Source organism: Homo sapiens, chromosome 15 (genome assembly GCF_000001405.40).
Source record: "Homo sapiens chromosome 15, GRCh38.p14 Primary Assembly".
Taxonomy (NCBI): Eukaryota; Metazoa; Chordata; class Mammalia; order Primates; family Hominidae; genus Homo; species Homo sapiens.
In genome coordinates, this window is record NC_000015.10 from 30,989,322 (window position 1) to 31,008,084 (window position 18,763).

At 41.6% G+C, this 18,763-nt stretch overlaps 2 protein-coding genes across 9 annotated transcripts in view, besides 2 other annotated features; both read right to left on the reverse strand.

Annotated features, from left to right (window-relative positions):
* Nucleotides 1–2,307, reverse strand: part of MTMR10 (myotubularin related protein 10) — a 72,913-nt gene extending 70,606 nt beyond the window's left edge. For all 6 annotated transcript variants that reach the window (XM_011521737.4, XM_047432771.1, XM_047432770.1 and 3 more), the window contains exons 1-2: nt 2,126–2,307; nt 1,456–1,516 (exon numbers count right to left, since the gene is read on the reverse strand). In XM_011521737.4, coding sequence (XP_011520039.1) covers nt 1,456–1,516; nt 2,126–2,185 — 121 coding nt within the window. In that variant the 5' untranslated portion in view covers nt 2,186–2,307. The remainder of the gene's footprint in view (nt 1–1,455; nt 1,517–2,125) is intronic.
* Nucleotides 1,882–2,404: an enhancer, noted in NCBI's record as "H3K27ac hESC enhancer chr15:31283406-31283928 (GRCh37/hg19 assembly coordinates)". NCBI's record gives its function as "activates a minimal SCP1, AML or CMV promoter by ChIP-STARR-seq in naive H9 embryonic stem cells {active_cell/tissue: H9 hESC(naive)}" and the evidence as "EXISTENCE:reporter gene assay evidence [ECO:0000049][PMID:30033119]".
* Nucleotides 2,405–2,926: an enhancer, noted in NCBI's record as "H3K27ac hESC enhancer chr15:31283929-31284450 (GRCh37/hg19 assembly coordinates)". NCBI's record gives its function as "activates a minimal SCP1, AML or CMV promoter by ChIP-STARR-seq in primed H9 embryonic stem cells {active_cell/tissue: H9 hESC(primed)}" and the evidence as "EXISTENCE:reporter gene assay evidence [ECO:0000049][PMID:30033119]".
* Nucleotides 11,744–18,763, reverse strand: part of TRPM1 (transient receptor potential cation channel subfamily M member 1) — a 160,096-nt gene continuing 153,076 nt past the window's right edge. For all 3 annotated transcript variants that reach the window (NM_001252020.2, NM_002420.6, NM_001252024.2), the window contains one exon: nt 11,744–13,749. In NM_001252020.2, coding sequence (NP_001238949.1) covers nt 12,501–13,749 — 1,249 coding nt within the window. In that variant the 3' untranslated portion in view covers nt 11,744–12,500. The remainder of the gene's footprint in view (nt 13,750–18,763) is intronic.

Below are 18,763 nucleotides of genomic sequence, written 5' to 3' on the forward strand. Positions count from 1 at the left end.
TGAGTGAAAAGCACTAACAAAATCAAGGGAAAATATTTATGACTCCCATAGTAAAGTTTAAAAAACACTTTTTAAACTTTCATATGGAACCAAAGTTTGGTGTTTTTAATATTTTGTCCCTATATAATATTTAAAATTTTAAAGTTTCCACATTTGTTCAATTTTTACCTACAAAATTCTAATTATTTTACCGATTTGGCTTTAAGTAATGAGTCAGATTTTGCAATGCTGATAGTAGCCACACAAACTAGTATTTGATTTCAGGTTTTTTTTTTTTTTGAGACGGTGTCTCACTCTGCCGCCCAGGCTGGACTGCAGTGGCAGGATCTCGGCTCACTGCAAGCTCCGCCTCCCGAGTTCATGCCATTCTCCTGCCTCAGCCTCCCGAGTAGCTGGGACTACAGGCGCCCGCCACCATGCCTGGCTAATTTTTTTTTGTATTTTTAGTAGAGATGGGGTTTCACCGTGTTAGCCAGGATGGTCTCGGTCTCTTGACCACGTGATCCACCCGCCTCGGCCTCCCAAAGTGCTGGGATTACAGGCATGAGCCACCGTGCCCGGCCGATTTCAGGTTTAAAACAGGCTTTCCTAAGTATCTGGCTACTTCCCCTAATAATCGCATTAAACAACTGACTTTTCCTAATTATTATACAATTGTTATACAATTCAAAATACCATACCAATATTCTGTATGCTCTAAAACAAACCCCTTTCTACCACCAATCCCTACTTCCATCTCTAAGGTCACCTATAGCAAATTTTGTTCTAAAGCAGTGATTCTCAACTGTGAGATTTTTGTCCCCCAGAGGTAGGGGACAAAAAAAAATTGGCAATGACTGGTGGCATTTTGGTGTGGCAACTAGGTCGCAACTAGGTGGTGGGGGATAAGGGTACTACTACTGGCATCTAGTGGGTGGAGGCCATCTTTGTTGCTATACACAGGACAGCCTGCCCGTCCAACTATGAATTATCTGGCCCCAAATGTCAATTAAGTGTCTCTGCTGGGAAAAGCCTGGTTCTAAACTGAAACAAGCAAATTTGCAAATACAGCTGACAACTTCAAAAAACAATTGCCAAGCAAGTAATTCAAAGTTCACTAAGCTCTGTTATTGGTATAGAGACACACACATAATAAAGGCGTCTTTTTATACTATCAAAATGCATTAAAATGATTAATCATTAATGCAATAAGTGGCAAACACGTCAGCAAAGAGTACTTTTACTACCCAAGCAATTAAACATATACATCTTTTCAAAAAGAAATTCGGGAGACAAAAAAGGAAATGAGGTAATGACATTCTTGACAGTTCCTTTTTCTCCTCTCAGTCACTAGACTTTTAACTGGAGAAAGTTTAATGAGAGAAGGGAAGTTAACCACATGATACTAGTCGGCAGAATAATCTTAAACCAAAATACGTTGCTAAAGTATCTGTTAGAATCCTAACTAATGTTTACCTGGCAAAAGGACTGGCTCCAGTTTTTTAATCTTCGGTTCCGAATTGATCTTATCGTCAGTCTGAAATACATTAGCAAAATAAATCAAAATCTCAATCCCCCCACCCTCCGTAAAATGCTACAGCAAATGTTGTTTTCTAAGTGATGACACATGCGAAAGACACACAGCCCCCCATTTAAATTCTTTCGCATATTAACTGAGCTGTTTTTAAGATCTGCTCATTATCGACTTGGAAGCCTAATAATAAAAAATGTTTAAACTGCCAGTGTCGCTTCCAGGTGTTCACATTTATGACAGACGGGTAACCGCCTCGACCAGTGACCCCAAGCGCTGCAATCATGCTGGCGGTCATACGAGGGAGGGTCGATGGGTTGGAAACTAAAGAAAACCCCAGCTCCCAAGGCTCCCCTGGGCCTCAACACTCCGCAAAACTACGGACGACAGAACTTCGGGCAGAGAATGGCTGCAGAAGAGTTTTACAAGTTTTCGCCGAGCCAGTGGGGGCTCCCGAGAAGGCGCATTTCGCGGCGCCGGGAATCAGGCAGCCGCGCTGCTGTGGGCAGGGAGACGCGCGCAGCCTCCTGGGGTCCTCCAGTTCCCGGGGGTCGGCCTGGAGGCTCCACGGAAGCGCAGAGGAGAGTCGGGCGCTCGCGGGGAGGGGTTGTTTACCTGGGGCGGTGGCAGGAGGTAGGACCTGAAGGTGGGTTTGGGCGGCTTGAGGGAGAACATGGTGCCGCCGCCTTTTCGCCCCGTTCCCGTCGCGGGCCAGTGGCAGCGCCGACGCCTCCGGGCGTAAAGCTCTCAGTGCGGCCGCCCAGGCCCTTTCTGCGGCCAGCCGAGCCGGGCGGACTGACGGGCGGGGATACGGCGCAGCGCCCGCCCGAGCGGGGAGGGGCCGGGCACAGCCAGGCCGACGCGGGCGCCGGGGCCCATCCCCGGAAGGGGCCCGGTGCCCCGCCCCGAGAGACGGCGCGCGCAAGGCCGCGGCCCGCCGCTCCCTGACCGTGTCCCGTGCTAGTGCCGGAACGCAGCGGTGGCGCCAGGTGCCCGCTGGCGGGCCCTCAGCCGGGGCGCCGCGGGGAGCGGAGCCCGACGGCCATCTCAAGAGCGCGGCCTCTGGAGGGTCCTTCTACGGCGGCCCGCAGGGGTCAGGCGGCCCGCGGGGGCCTACGGCGGCCTGCGGGGGCCACGGCGGCAGCGGTGGCTGCCTGGGACGGCGGCGCGGGGCGTCTTCTGGCCGGGCTGCAGTCCTGGGACAGTTCCCTTGACTTACACATGGGCCGACTTCGCCCTCCGGCCTGGGCGAGCATTGTTTTGAAGCTCTCAAGGAGGAGCTCAGGGCAGGGAAAGGTGACTCGGGTCCAGGGGTCAGGCGGTCACCCCGTCTGCGCCCAGGATGCGAGGAACCGGCACTGGGAAAGTGGGCCGGTGCCGCCAAGCACAGGTCACTTCTGAGCTCTTACGGTAATTCTGACTGGAGCAGATTTTGGTGGGAGGGGGCTAGTGGTGTTACATTTTGGTGAATCTATTACTTGAGACTAGGTCCTTCTTATACCTTGAAGAATCAAACCCCAATCCAGCATTTTATGATTAATGCCACAGGGAAGCTTCCATGCAGCCATACCAGTCACAATCACGCTGATGAGTGTTACTCACAGGAACATTTAACAATTTAAATAAAGATTCAAAAAGTTATTCTTTTTCTGAAAATAATTTATCCTGGATTTAGAACCCTACTGATCTTTCAGGTTAACCTGTTTGAATTCCACTCTGCCCAAGAACCGTAACCATAATTGTATTTTTTAGAGTCAGGGTCTCACACCATCACCTGGGCTGAAGTGCAGTGGCATGATCAGGGCTCACTGCTGCCTCCACCTCCTGGGCTCAAGTGATCCACGTGCCTTAGCCTCTCAAGTAGCCGGGACTATGGGCATGAGGCACCGTGCCTGGCCATAATTGTACTTTAAAATGTTAGTTCCATTGGATTAGAAGTGTTAAAATCACTGTCGTGCACACTTTTTAAAAAATTTTTATGAATATGCTGTTATTCCTCTATATTCAACGGATATTTTCTACAAATACTCTTTAAGCAATAATTGGCTTTTTCTTTACACTTAAATGACTCTGTGATTTGGGTTTTTCTGTACAGGTTTTCTTAGGATCTGCAATTCTAATATGTGACCATACAACTGAAAAGTGGAAAAACTCTATTTCCAGATTTATTATTGTCTTAACACTAAATTTTATGGCATTTCCCAGATATCTGGTTGTATTAGTCTGCTCAGGCTGCCATAACAAAATACCACAGGTTGATGGCTTAAAGAGCAGACATTAATTTCTCACAATTCTGGAGTATAGGAAGTCCAAGATCCAGGTGTTGGCAAGGTAGGGATCTGCCTAACTTGTGGCAGGCAGACAGGTGAGGGCTCTCTGCCGGATTTGCAGATGGCTGCCATCTCACCATGTCCTCACACAGTGCGGGGAGGGTATATAACATGCTCTCTGGGATCTCTTGATGTCTCTTCTTGTAAGGACGCTAATCCTATCAGATTAGAGCCCCACTCTTACTACCTTATTTAACTTTAATTACCTCCTAAAATCTCCAAATGTAGCCATACCAGGGGTTAGGGTTTCAACATTAGCATTTTGGAGGAACACAATTCAGTCCGTAGAACTAGTTTTATAACCTCTTCTCAGACCCTGATGCCCTTGACTACGCTGTATGTTTGGTGTTATTGCCTACCCCCTGCTTTTGGCTCTAATGTCACTGTTTTGTCCTGCTTCACCCATTTTTCTGTTTTTGTTTGTTGTTTGTTTTGTTTTGGTTTTTTTGAGGCGGAGTCTTGCTCTGTCACCCAGGCTGGACTGCAGTGGCGCAATCACGGCTCATTGCAACCTCCGCCTCCCGGGTTCAAGTGAGTCTCCTGCCTCAGCCTCCCAAGTAGCTGCGATTACAGGTGTCCACCACCACGCCTGGCTAATTTTTGCGTTTTTTTAGTAGAGACGGGGTTTCACCATGTTGGCCAGGCTGGTCTCAAACTCCTTACCTCAGGTGAACTGCTGGACTCGGCCTCCCATCACCCATTTTTCTGACTACACCTCTGTTTCCATTATTGGATCTTCTATCATTGGGAATGGTAGCATTCTCTAAAGATCACTTCCTTTTCCCTATCAAGAAAAAATAAAGCTAACATTTCTTGAATACTGATCAGGTGCTAGGAACTTTATATATTCATTCAGCACTCATTCAGTGAACTCATGAATTTGTATTGAGTACTAACATTGTGCCAAGCACTATTCCGGACACTAAGACAAAGTTTCTACTTTCATGGCATTTTCATTCTCGGTAGAAAGATAAAAAATTAATATATAGCATGTCAGGTGGTAATGAGTGCTGTGAAGAAAAATAAAACATAGTGAGAGAAAGGTGGTTCCATTTTTCAGTGGGGAGTTGGATATGGTCAGGGAAGGACTTTCTGAGTATAGGACATTTGAGCAGAGACAAAAGGAGTAAGGGAAAAGGCCAAGTACACATGAGGAGGAAAAGCATTTGGGACAGAGAAGATTAGCTGTGCAAATGCCTTGAGGTGAGCGCCTTCGAGGGGTGTTTGAGGCCAGTGTGGCTAAAGCAGCCTAATGCAGTCAGGGAGGAGGGCAGAGGGAAACACAGGCCAGATCACAGAGGCCCCAAAAATTGAGAAGATTTTATAAGGTTTTGAGGTAAGAGTGCTATGATCTGACTTGTGTTTTAAAATAATCATTTTGACTGCTGTAGTGTGCAGCAGGGTGGCCTTTGGAAGACCAGTTGGGGCCTGTTATAACAGTCCAGATAAGAGAAGGTGATGGTGGTAGCAGGGGAAGTAGTTAGAAGTGGTTATACATAATGTTTGCAAAACGAGGCCATGGCTTGAGTATGTGGTCTTTTAAGATGACTACTAAGTAATTTAAGACATCTGTTTCTTGAGGGAGAATTGTGGAAAGATGACAACAGCAGCATACTTTTTCAATCTCTGCATAAAAACAGACAAAGCAACTATATGGCAAAACCAAAACCCAAGGACAACATCTATAACAAATCCAAATGAAATGGTATCCCCTTGATCTCAAAAATATAAATGCGTGGGAACAAACCAATAGCAATAATATGGCAATAATAAGTAATAAGACCCTTGTGGTATCAGCATAGAGAATCAATGAGGCATCTGGAGAACCCCAAAATAGCTGCAAAGTGTTCCCTGGAAGGTCCAGCCAGTCAAGTTGAGAACAGCAGCAGAAACAGGAAAGGGTATTTGCCTTCTCTAAAAACGTGAGAATGCACGAGCCTCCTGGTAAAGTCTGGAGGGGCTGGAGTAATGTAGCTGCAGGAACTCTTGAAACTAATCTACTAGGCTTCCTTGCAGGAAAGAGACCTACACTGCTGGCAAACTGTTGGGCATGGAAACAAAATTGAGCTAAATAGAGACAATAGAGAGAAAGGAAAAAGAAGTTCTAGGTAAAAATGGAAAACTAGGAAATCTCCAAAAGTAAGCCAACTTTTCAAATAAAAAAGAACGAAACCCACAACACTAAGCAGTAAAAACGGAAGTTCTCTATGAAGTTAGAAAAACTAGGCTGGGCACGGTGGCTCACGCCTGTAATCCCAGCACTTTGGGAGGCCGAGGCAGGCTGATCACGAAGTCAGGAGATCAAGACCATCCTGGCTAACACGGTGAATCCCCATCTCTACTAAAAATACAAAAAATTAGCCAGGCATGGTGGTGGGCGCCTGTAGTCCCAGCTACTCGGGAGGCTGAGGCAGGAGAATGGCGTGAACCCGGGAGGCGGAGCTTACAGTGAGCCGAGATAGTGCCACTGCACTCCAGCCTGGGCGACAGAGCAAGACTCCACCACAAAAAAAAAAAAAAGAAAAAAAAAAAAAGAAAAAAGAAAAACTATCCTTAAAACTGCCTCCTTCAAAAAGTTCAAGAAAACCAATTTCACATAAAAATAATCACATGAAAGTATGGAAGTCAAATCACATAGAAAATTATTGTAATGAAAGACAATAAGAACAGAATAGCACTCATATCCACAATAAAAGCATACCAGAAAGGATGCCCACAAAACAGATAAAAACTAACATCCACTATTTCACAATGAGCCAAAAGATACTAAGAAAATGATATGAAACATGAAAAGAACTATGTAAATCAGAACTAGAAACATTCAAAATGAAATGAATAAATTCAAAATAGAATCAGAAATCAGAATCTGAAATTAAGAATAAAAGAAACCCAAGGATGAATAAACACAATTGATTATTCTTTAAGAGAAGATGAAAAGGAGAAAAATTCTAAAAAATCAAAAATCAATGAAGGAAGTTAAACAGATTAGAAAGAAAGTCTAGATATTGAAAACAGGCAAAGGAGAACTAACAAATAGATAATAGGAGTTCCTGGGGGAAACAAAAAGAGGGAGGAGATAAGGAAACAGAACAAATACTACAAACTGTAGTTTAAGAAAACTTACCTGAAATTAAAAGAAAATATTTGAAACTGCATATTGAAAGAACACATTGCACCTGAGAACATTGATCTGGGCTTACCAGCACTAAGACACATTCTTCTAAACCTACTGGGCCTTGAAGAAACAACAATGAAAATTTCTTTGGATATTTAGACAAAAAAAGCAAGTGACTTTCAGATGAAAGGAAATTAGATATTACCAGACGTTTTGGCAGCAATGCATTATGCCAGAAGAAAATGGAGTAACATATTTAAGGTACTCATGGAAAGAAAATGTGAGAGAATAATAATTATGGCCGAGCGCTCAAGCCTGTAATCCCAGCACTTTGGGAGGCCGAGGTGGGTGGATCATCTGAGGTCAGGAGTTCGAGACCAGCCTGGCCAAAATGGAGAAACCCCGTCTCTACTAAAAATACAAAAATTTAGCCAGGCGTGGTGGCACATGCCTGTAATCCCAGCTACTTTGGAGGCCGAGACAAGAGAATCACTCGAACCTGGGAGGCAGAGGTTGGAGTGAGCTGAGATCACGACATTGCACTCCAGCCTGGGCAACAGAGTGAGACTGTGGCTCAAAAAAAAAAAAAAGAAAAACCCAAAAACCAAAAAATTACAATGGATTAAAATACATCACATATATTTAAATCCATGAAGTCATAATGGTGTTTAAATAAACTAAACTATCAGTCACCTGGAAAAACTCTGATTTCCAGATTTGTTATTGACTGAAATGTCACATTTTCCAGATGTCTAGTTGTATTAGTGTGCTCATGCTGCTATAACAAAGTACACAGACTCTGGCTTAAAGAACAGAAATTTCTTTCTCACAGTTCCAGAGGCTGGGAAGTGTAAGACCAAGATACCAGCAAGGTAAAGGTTCTGGTGAGGGCTCTCTGCCTGGCCTGTAGACCACCTTCATCCTTTGGAGGATGGTAGAGAACCAATTCATTATTTTTAAAACTGGCAACTGGGAAAAATCAATCAGTCATTATTTCTGCTGTGTAGTATGAACTATACCACTGTGTAATCAAGTAGTAGGTGAAAAGAATAATCTCTTTATAAATAATAGAATTTGAGTATTACAATTTTCAACCCTCTATAAATTAAGTGATCTAGGCATTGAGTATCAACAGTTGCTGACATCACAAAAAGAGAGACAAGTAGACACATGTGCCTCCTTGTGTCTTAGAAAGAAGCTACACCATCTAAGGAGTCTTGCCAAAGGGATCAGACCTAAGCCTGAATAAGCCTCTGACTCCTCTTGCCAACCTGCAGAAACAGCAGAATATGTCAAACTGCCTATGAGCGTTCAATAAGTAAAGTTTAGACTGTGGGAAACTTTGCAAGACAAGTGGCCCATGTTCTTCAACAAAGAAATTGTTAAGGAAGAGAAAGAGAGAAAGGTAATACCAGATTAAAAGAGATTTAAAAGACCTTCAAATAAAAAAGAGTAAGGCTAAACTATAGTGCTAAGGAACATTCAAGTGATACAACTATAATGAAATACAAGTATAGTGATTTTAAAACATATCTGCAGGCCGGGCGCGGTGGCTCACGCCTCTAATCCCAGCACTTTGGGAGGCCGAGGCGGGTGGATCACGAGGTCAGGAGATCGAGACCACGGTGAAATGAAACCCCGTCTCCACTAAAAATACAAAAAATTAGCCAGGCGCAGTGGCGGGCGCCTGTAGTCCCAGCTACTCGGGAGGCTGAGGCAGGAGAATGGTGTGAACCCGGAAGGCGGAGCTTGCAGCCAGCGGAGATCGCGCCACAGCACTCCAGCCTGGGCGACAAAACGAGACTCCGTCTCAAAAAAAAAACAAAAAACATATCTGCAAATTTTTTAAACATTCCCCTCTATATGACCCCTACCCTCGAATCCGAGCTGGCCTTAGTGACTCTGCAAGACTTCTGAGGATTGGCCATAAAAAGGGATATTTCCTCCTTGCTCAATGGGACACTCACGTCTGGAGCCCTGAACCATCATATAGGAAATCCAGTTTCTCTGCGGCTGCCATGCTGTGAGGAAGCCCAGGCTGCTTGGAGAGGCATGTGTATGTGCTCTATACTGAGATTGAGATCCCAGTTGAGAGCCATTATCCATTTTCAGACATGTGAATAAAGACATATCTAGATAATCCCAGCCTCCAGCTGTTGAATTCCCTCTAGACAGTGAGTCTTCCCAGCTGAGGCCCCAAATATCATGGAGTAGACAGTAGTGTGCTATAGCCAGCCTGTACTGGCTTGCAAGAACCAATTGTCAGTATGTCTTCCTAACTCCATATTCAGTGATGCCGTAGCTTGAAGTTGGCCATGGTAGGAGTACTTACACCATGGAAATCGGCAAACACTGCAAATCAGGGGCATTCCTGCTGCGCCTGTCTGAATTTCTGACCCACGGAATCCATGAGCATAATCAAATGGGTATTTTAAGCCACCCAGTTTTGGAGTCACTTGTATTAATAATACAGTGATAGTAACTGGAACAGCAAGGAAAGGATTACTATAAAAATATAGTTACTTTTCAGGGAACAGAGGTGGTTGAGATAGGGACTTCTGAGACTTTTGGAGTAGCTGGAAAACTCTATTAATCTGAGTGGTGGTTACAAGGATATTCAGCTTACAATAATTAATTAAGTCAGTTATTTATTTTGTGTGATTTTCTGCATTTTTATCTTAAGATAAAACCTTTAAAAGTCTTTTTTTGTGTGTAGGAGGTAGTAAGATGATTTCATTTCACTTTATTTCTAATATATATTTAGCAAAAATGCATTTTTGGTGTTGAATAACTATATGACAACATTGACAGTTTGATTTTTAGATTTTAAAACCTAAACTATGGAAGACTATAGGAACCTCATGATGATGAAGCATATATATGTATTCAGAATGTAAGCAGTCAAACAGCCTTAAAGGAGAGAGCCACATATTATGAGGTCCTTTGATAGTTCAAGTCTTGATTGCCATTGATCAAAGTCCAAAACAAGCTTAATTTATACCAAATAATATATTAGAACTCATTTATGAGTATGCCAGAGTTTTGGGGATAAAATAATAAAAGCCTTCTTATGTTACTATGTTTTACATAGCACAGAAATGTAATTCTTATTCATTTACTGATAGTTCTATATTAAATGATTTGACCATATGCAGTATTCTTATTTTAATGTATTAAATACTGCTAGATTTGATTAGATTGGGTATTAGTTCTCAATATTTGGTTGTCCATATTTAGACAAAATTGTAATGACATTGGGAATAATAATGTAATCATTAATAATGTAATACCAAGCGGTCTGGCATTGTGTCCTACATAGAACACTGTCAATATTTGAGTTGTGCTGGGTTGGTAAAGTACTAATCAACTATATGGTATGATTTAAGGTATACAAGAAAGGTCTCAAGAATAGTCAGCCCAGTCACAGGTTCTGAAATCACACTGTTAGAATTCATCCATTTGGATCCGTAAGACAAACATGCTTAGAAAATCCTACATCAGCTGACACCTTGGCATAAGACAGGAGTCACAGATCTTAGTGAGACTTAAGGAAATGGAACTTGAGTCCCACACCTGAGGCACGGTGGGATGGACCTTGGTAAAGGGAGACTGTGTAATGAAGATATGGGGAGAATTCCAAAGACAGGCTTTATCTTCTGCAGACCAGCTCTGCTGAGGTGTTATAGATTCCCCAGCTTATTCTGAGAAATCTCTTTTCTAGGATATGGTAAAAGGCCGAAAGTTTTTTGACACTCAAAGGAAAGACTTAGGAGTGAGATAAAATGTAATAGGTTAAGTATTGAGTCAAATAAACACATGTGGCAGGATAGATTAAATAGTCTTAATATAGCAATATGCAAATAAGTAATAGTTTATGTTAAATAAATGTTATCACTTTTGAAATATTAAAGCCCTACCCCACAACCCAGGCAATGGTATATCAGTCTTTTTTGATAAATTCAGCCCAGTTCAAGAGTTCTAATCTGACTATTACAATCTCAGTCGTATTTTGAGGAAAAAGATGCAAAATCACATTTTGGTATTGTCACCTCTGATCACTACCTTTGGCATAACTGCAATGAGCCTCTGTTGTAGAACAGGCTACAATCTTCCTCTATCTGTTTCTGGGTCTCCCTCTGTGTGTTTCTGTCTTTCTGTCTCTTTCTGTACTCCTTTGCCAGTTTCTGGCAGTGCTACAATCTACACCTCAGATGAGAATGGGGATGGCGGTCTCATTTTTTGTGATCATCACCCATTTCTGTCTGACACATCTCCCAACCCTACCACCACCAATTCCTGGTTACTCTACCCAGTGATCCTTTCTGGGTATGAGGCACTTTGCTTCATGATGTATCAGCTGCCAGTAACTCGAGGCTGGCCCTCTCTCTGTGCATCAGAGACCTCCTGAGATCTGAGTACCCTGAGGTTCTCTTGGGGGATGGTGAGGGGCTAGAGTCTAACTCTAACTTCTGCTCTAGCCGGAGAAGACCCCTTTCTGCCACCTCTGTTTCTTTTTGTATAGTTAAGAGTGGTGATGGTGGGGTGGCCTTCAGGGTTCCTAGACAGAGGCCCCTCTTGGAAGCCTCGCATGGGGGTCCTATTACTCTTGTGGGTATTTGTTTGAACTTTGAGGTGAAGCACAACACCTGGTATTCTCAGCTAAGAGCAGTCTCTGTGACTTGTGAACATATATCCTTTAGGTTTTAGCTACAGCTTTGTACAAAGCATTGCATAGACAGGTACAACTAATTTGTATTTGCTATTAAGGACTCTATGACAAGAAGAAAATGCATATTGGATACTTTATTTTTGCACATTAACAAAACTCTAGGTCACCCTAAATTATTAGAGTATGATGTTTGATATAATTGTGTACTTTTTTTCCCATTGTGTAGTTTAAAATAAAACATTAAAACAGAAAACAAAGACCCCATAAAAACATATTTGTGGCTCCTTCCCACTTATTGTGCCTCACAATTTTATTTTTCTTCTTTCCACCCCTCCCTTTTTTCATGTTTGCTTTCTCTTTAGTTTCTCTTTCTTACACAGTTGCTTACTTTTTTTTTTTTTTTTAAGAGATGGGGTATCACTATGTTGCCCAGGCTGGTCTCAAACTCCTGGACTCAAGCTATCTTTCTGCCTTGGCCTCCCAAAGTGCTAGGATTACAGGCATGAGCCACTGTGCCCAGCTAGTTGCTTACTTCTTAAGTGACCTAATGGTGACTTCAGTGCTCGAGGGCACTTCCTAGGCTATTTGGTGGCCCTCAGTAATAAAGAGATTGTATAATCTTGTATACTGATTAGCCAATTTATCTTCGTTACAGTATCATCACTTTCATTTGATACTACTGCAACTGAAAAAACTAAGCCTACTAACATATGCTAACAAAATACTACTTTTAGTGCATTAAATTGTAAATCAAGTCTGAATTTCCAAAATTTTTTAAGGAAAATGTTTTTAGAAATTGATGATGTTTAGATGGCCAAGATGACACCCATTAGTGGTTCTGACTGTTAAAAAAAAAAATTAAAGAAACAAAACAGACTAGCATTCAGTTTCTGTGGAAGCTTTCTCTTTCTTAACCTTTTTTTCTTCTGCTGTCATTCCAGACACAATTACTAAGCTGCTTACACTACTGGCATGTCCAGATCTGTCTAACTTTCCCTGAATGGATTTCACATTCCTAGGATGTCCATGTAAACTTTTTGACCTGAGAGATGGGAATCCCAAAGTTTGATCTGGCTTCACAGACAGTAAGTTTTCCATCCCATTTCTGTCAGTAATGGTTAGGGACAAGCGAGGGATTCGAGGAATTGCTTCAGCGACATGGTGTTCATCTTGCATATCTGCAAACTGCTCTTTATGCTCAGCTTGCACTGCAGCTTCCGACACAATGTAAGGAATATCTGTGCTATGAGAGCGCGTGATCTTTTGAACTTGGCATTGCCATTCCGTCGTCAATTGCTGGTCCGTGATTGAACTGTACTCTACATCCTGGTTAACCCCACCGACCAGCTTTCTTCCCCGGGAATAGACGAAGCTTCTGGACTTCATTGTTTTACAAGCATTGATCGTTTCATCGGGGAAATAGCGTGTAATTTTGGTTTCTTCCAGGGGATAGGAAATAGTGCCTTCTATATTTGTCGTTTCCACTGTTAGCTGAGTGTTTTGAACATCTGATTTGTCCTGTCCATGTATCACATCTGTTTTATTTAAACTTGGGGAAATAGTTTCTTCTTTTTTAGAGTCTGTCTGTCTTTCATCATCTTCCTTTGAAATCCCAATATCTGGACCTAATTTTGACTCTTCAGCGTTCTTTAAGTCATCTACTGCAAGGTGACTGCCATCTGGGGTTGCTGATGTGCTTGTGCCCAGTGAAAGGTGAAGACTGTTCTGACATTCTGGGACTAGGTGCGTTTTCACGTCCTTCTCTTCCTTTATACGGAAGGAACAGGTTTTTTTCCTGACTCCTGTCCCTGGTGACGTGGAGAGAGATGTATCCTCAAATAATAACTCTTCTCCGTTAAAATGATATCGATACAAGCTGTAGCCATCAGCGCTATTGATGCTGCTTTGCCGGAGAAGATACGTTGCCTCACATTCAGAAGAAGCCCGGGACCGTGCCTGGATCAGGTCAGACCTGTCGATTCCCGCAAGATTTTCAAGAGCATTCACCATTCTGTTAGATAATTCTTCTAGCTGAGCAAGTCGAAGGTCAACAGTCTGCAGGGAAGTTTTCATAAAAGTTTCTCTTTCATTGATTTCTTCCAACCTCATTGACATATTTTCAACTCTGGTGAATATAAAGGGATAGATTTATTAAACTGAGATTAAGTGGATATTAAAAATCAAAAGATAATGTCATTGCTATGTGATTTTTCAGAATTTTAATACATATGGAACTGTTTGAGTATATTTACAAGCTTCACAATCCCCTAACATGACTACTCGAATTACCATGAGGAGCCACCAGAAAATAATGGAAATAAATAGTTAATGCATATAGTACTTACTGCTCAGTCATTGTTCTAAGAGCATAATGTTCTCACTAACAGGTACTTACTGAGGTTCAATCCTAGGCTTATTTAATCTTCAGAACAGTCCTTGGAAGTAGGTCTATTATTATCATCTCCATTTTACAGGTGAGGAAATTAAGTCATGGAGCGTATAAGTAATTTCCCCAAAGGTAGGAAGCAGTGGAGCAGGAATTTGAGCACACGCAGCCTAGCTCCAGCACTCACTCCGGTGCCTGTCTCTTAGCTGGTACATCATGCTGCCTGTAGTAATAACAGAAGCTACTAGTGCTTAGTTTTTAGAGCTTTGACTATGGCTGTCAGCAGTGAATGGTTATAACAAAATAAATAAAATTAAAATCCTTATTGAGGTTCAAGGGATTCAGAAAATAAACTGTTAATAATTAAGTTCAGATTATCAGATAGTTTGCTTAAAGGATAGTAGGTGATTTAATTGTCTGAAGAATACCAAAAACTTTAAATTATTCTTTATATTTAATAATTAGTATTTCCTTAAGGTTACACACAAAAAAGAGCATGGGAGATTATAAATGCCTGCTATTAGTTTTTTTTTTTTCAGTTCTTAGAAGATCGGGCAACAGCCTATGAAACCATAATGTTGCCTGGCCTAAAATCCACTGGTACAGACTTTGTTTTATATTTTACTACATACAGTATGAATTATTTCAATAGGAATTTAACTCTAAGAGGCAAGGTATGCCCAGGATTGAGGATTGCTTTCTAAAAGTTGAATTTGTCCCCAGGATGGAGCTAGGAGTCCTGGCTACTGTGTTCTGGCTGGTTCATCCCTGTGTGATGGCAAACACTTAGGTCTGATTCCATTATTCTTTTATTTTCTCCCAGCTTTCTTAAAAACATAGGGAGACTTGGCTTGCATTGCAGTCTGTATGACCTACGAAGGTCTTTGCTACCTTCTCTGCACATCCTTATACATGTCCTCACTCGTACTGCTGGCTCTCCTCTTATCCATCCATTTCACGGTGGTCAGCCACCCCGCTCTTTTGTCTTCTGAGCAGATTGCCTGCCACTGTTTGCATCGCTAAGTCAGCTCTGTGCTTGACTGCATCTCCTGAACTCCACCCCCACCCTGCTGCTTCTGTGGCTACCTTGCCCCACCTCCCAGAGTTTTTTTTTTGCTAATGCCACTCTTCTGTTGACCACATTGACAACTGTGCTCTGATGTGTCTGTGTTTGTATGTGTGGTTCCTTGGCTTCTATTCTTAACTCTTTTCTTGGGGTGAGAACTATTTATATGTACTATAGGAAACCACATCATTTGAGCAGGAAGGGTCTGGCTTCCTGGACGTTTGCCACCAGGGAGGACCAAATTCACCATGCATGAGAAGTCCTGGCTTCCTTTTTTTAAAGCCTCTGTATCACAGGCACTGTAGGTTCTAAGGGTTCTCTCTCCTCTTGCATTTCAGAGACCAACAGAAGAATTTTTCACTATTAACTTTCCATTACTTCTGAGTAAGACTTGGTGTTCTTCATTAAAAATAATGGCTCCTGGCCGCACGCAGTGGCTCACACCTGTAATCCCAGCACTTTGGGAGGCCAAGGCGGGTGGATCACCTGAGGCCAGGAGTTCAAGACCAGCCTGGCCAATATGGTGAAACCCTGTCTCTACTGAAAACACAAAACTTAGCTGGGCACAGTGGTGTGTGCCGGTAATCCCAGCTACTTGGGAGGCTGAGGCACGAGAATTGCTTGCACCCAGGAGGCGGAGGTTGCAGTGAGCCGAGATCGCACCACTGCACTCCAGCCTGGATGACAGAGCGAGACTCCATCTCAAAAAATAAATAAATAAATAAATAAATAAATAAATAAAGGCTCCCTACTCCGTTCAGTTCTATTACCCTGATTATTCCTTTTGTATCAAAAAAAACCCCACATTGCCCTAGTCAAACTTGAGTTCCTTTACAAACATACAGTAAGAGATATTGCCGCTGTGCAAACTTTTCTAAATAAATACACTGGTGAAATGAAGATGAATATCTTTCCTTTCAAATCTTTTATAGTTTTACCTATTTTCCCCTTTATTACCTAATTCAGATAACAGCACTCTCAGCCACTCATATATGAAAAACAAACCTCAAAGTCATTGGATTCTTTGGTCTCCCTTATACTAACTCCCTCCCCTCACTTCTCTCCTCTCCCCTCCCCTCTGCATTGAATCAGTTACCAAGCTCCTTTTTTGGTGTCTCAAATCTCCCATCCCTACTGCTGCTCCCTTCATTGAAGCTGTGGAAGAAACAATGCTTAATGATGTGCCCTGGGTTCAGAGAAATTGTCAGTTGCTTGTTTGGAGCTTGTGAACAGCTACAACGTGGATACAGCAAATTTTAAACAGCTATGCCAAACGATGGGAAGTTGCATTGAGTTTTATAGTACGTATGAAAGAAGAAAGATAAAAATGAGTTTAAGTTCACTTACATCTGAAATGATTAACATAAAGGACAAATAAATGAGGATCTATCTCCTTTGTTAACCATGGTTGGTGACTTCCCATAATTATTTAAAACATGTTTCACAAACCTTGACACCCACACAAAGAGTGGTTTCCATTTCAGACAGAGAAAGGCTATCTAGGAATCAATTTGACAAGAGCCCCACATCTATTTACACATTGAATGGCATAAAAACACAAGAGAATCCATCATGCATGATAGAGCTCATAGTGAGATATGATTAATCAGCAAAGAAGTTATTTGTGTAGCTTTCTAAGTCTTAATCCAGCTTTCCTTTCAGCACAGAGTGAAAAATATTTTTCAGCACATTACAGAATACAGAAGCATTCCAGATCCAAGTAATTCACTTGGCTTTCCCTTTAATTAAGGTTGATGCTCTCTTAAAGATTTCTTTTCTTTTCTTTTCTTTTTTTTTTGAGACGGAGTCTTGCTCTGTTGCCCAGACTAGAGTACAGTGGCGCAATTTCCGCTCACTGCAACCTCTGTCTCCCAGGTTCAAGCGATTCTCCTGCCTCAGCCTCCCAAGTAGCTGGGATCACAGGCGCCCGCCACCATGCCTGACTAATTTTTGTATTTTTAGTAGAGACGGGGTTTTGCCATGTTGGCCAGGCTGGCCTCGAACTCCTGACCTCAGGTGATCCACCTGCCTTAGCCTCCCAAAGTGCTGGGATTACAGGCATGAGCCACCAAGCCTGGCAAAGATATATTTCTAATATGGATGTGCCACAGCACCTGTTGAAGGACATTTGGGTTGTTTCCATTATTTGGCAAGTATGAAAAGAGCTGCTATAAACATTCATGTACAGGTTTTGTGTGAACATGTTTTCATTTCTGTAGGATAAATACCTAGGAGTTAAATAGCCGAGATTGCTGATTCATAGGGTAAATGTATGTTTAACTTTATAAGCAACTGCCCAACCATTTTTCAGAGTGGCTGTACAATTTTTTATTCCTACTAGCAGTGTATGCAAATTCCAGTTGCTCAGCATCCTTCTTGGCTATTGTTATTTTTAATTTTTTTTATTTTTAGCTCTTGTATTCGGTGTGTAGATATATCTCATTCTGGTTTTAATTTTCATTTCACTGATAGCTAATGATGTTGAGCATCTTTTTATGTACATATTTAACAACCTTATGTCCTCTCTGGTGTGTCTAGTCTAATCCTTAGCTCATTTTTTTATTGGGCCATTTTTTCCATATTATGGGTTTTAGAGTTCTTTAGATATTTTGTATAAAAGTCTTTTGTCAGATATATGATTGACATGATTATGCTTTTGGTGTTGCATTGAAGAATCCTTTGTCTATTCCCAAGTTGTGAAGATTTTCTCTTATGTTTTCTTCCAAACATTTTATAGTTTTGTGTTTTATGTTTAGATCTATGATCCATTTTTAGTTAATTTTTGTATGTGTTGAGATCATTTTTTGCATAAGAATGTCAAACTGTCCTAACACCATTAGTTGAAAAGATGATCCATTCGTCGTTGAATTAGTTTTGCACCTTTGGGGAAAGAAATCAATTATCTCTATTTGGGTAGATCTACTCCCGGACTCTTTATTCTGTTCCATTTATGTATGTGTTGGACCCTTCACCAAGACCACACTGTCTTCATTACTGTAGCTTCACAGTAAGCCTTAAAACTGGATAGTGTGATTCCTCTAATGTTATTCTTCTTTTTCAAAATTGTTTTACATAGTCTAGTTCCTTGGCCTTTCCATTTAATTTTCAAAATAAGTTGACATAGCTGGGCACAGTGGCTCATGCCTACAATCCCAGTGCTTCGGGAGACTGAGGTAGGAGGATTGCTTGAGCTCAGGAGTTTGAGACCAGCCTGGGAAACATAGGGAGACTTCGTCTATAACAACAGCAGCGCAGCAACAACAACAACAACAACAACAACAACAACAACAACAACAACAGTTGACCTATATCTACAAAATATCCTGCTGGGATTTTGATTGGTATTGTGTTAAATCTACAGATAAACTTGGGGAGAACTGACATCTGTGCCACGTTGAGTCTTCCAATACATGAATATGGTATATCCTCCCATTTATTTAAGTGATCTTTGATTTCTTTCATCAGCACTTTGTAGTTTTCTGCATATAGATCCCATACGTATTTTACGAGATTTATACCTAAGTATTTCATTTTTGTTGGAGCTCTGTGAGAATGGTATTATTTTAAAAATTCCAATGTTCAATTACACACTGATGGTATATAGAAATAAGATTAATTTTTGTTGACTTTGTACTCTGTAGCCTTGTTAAATTCACTTATTAATTCTAGGACGTTTTCATTTGTTTC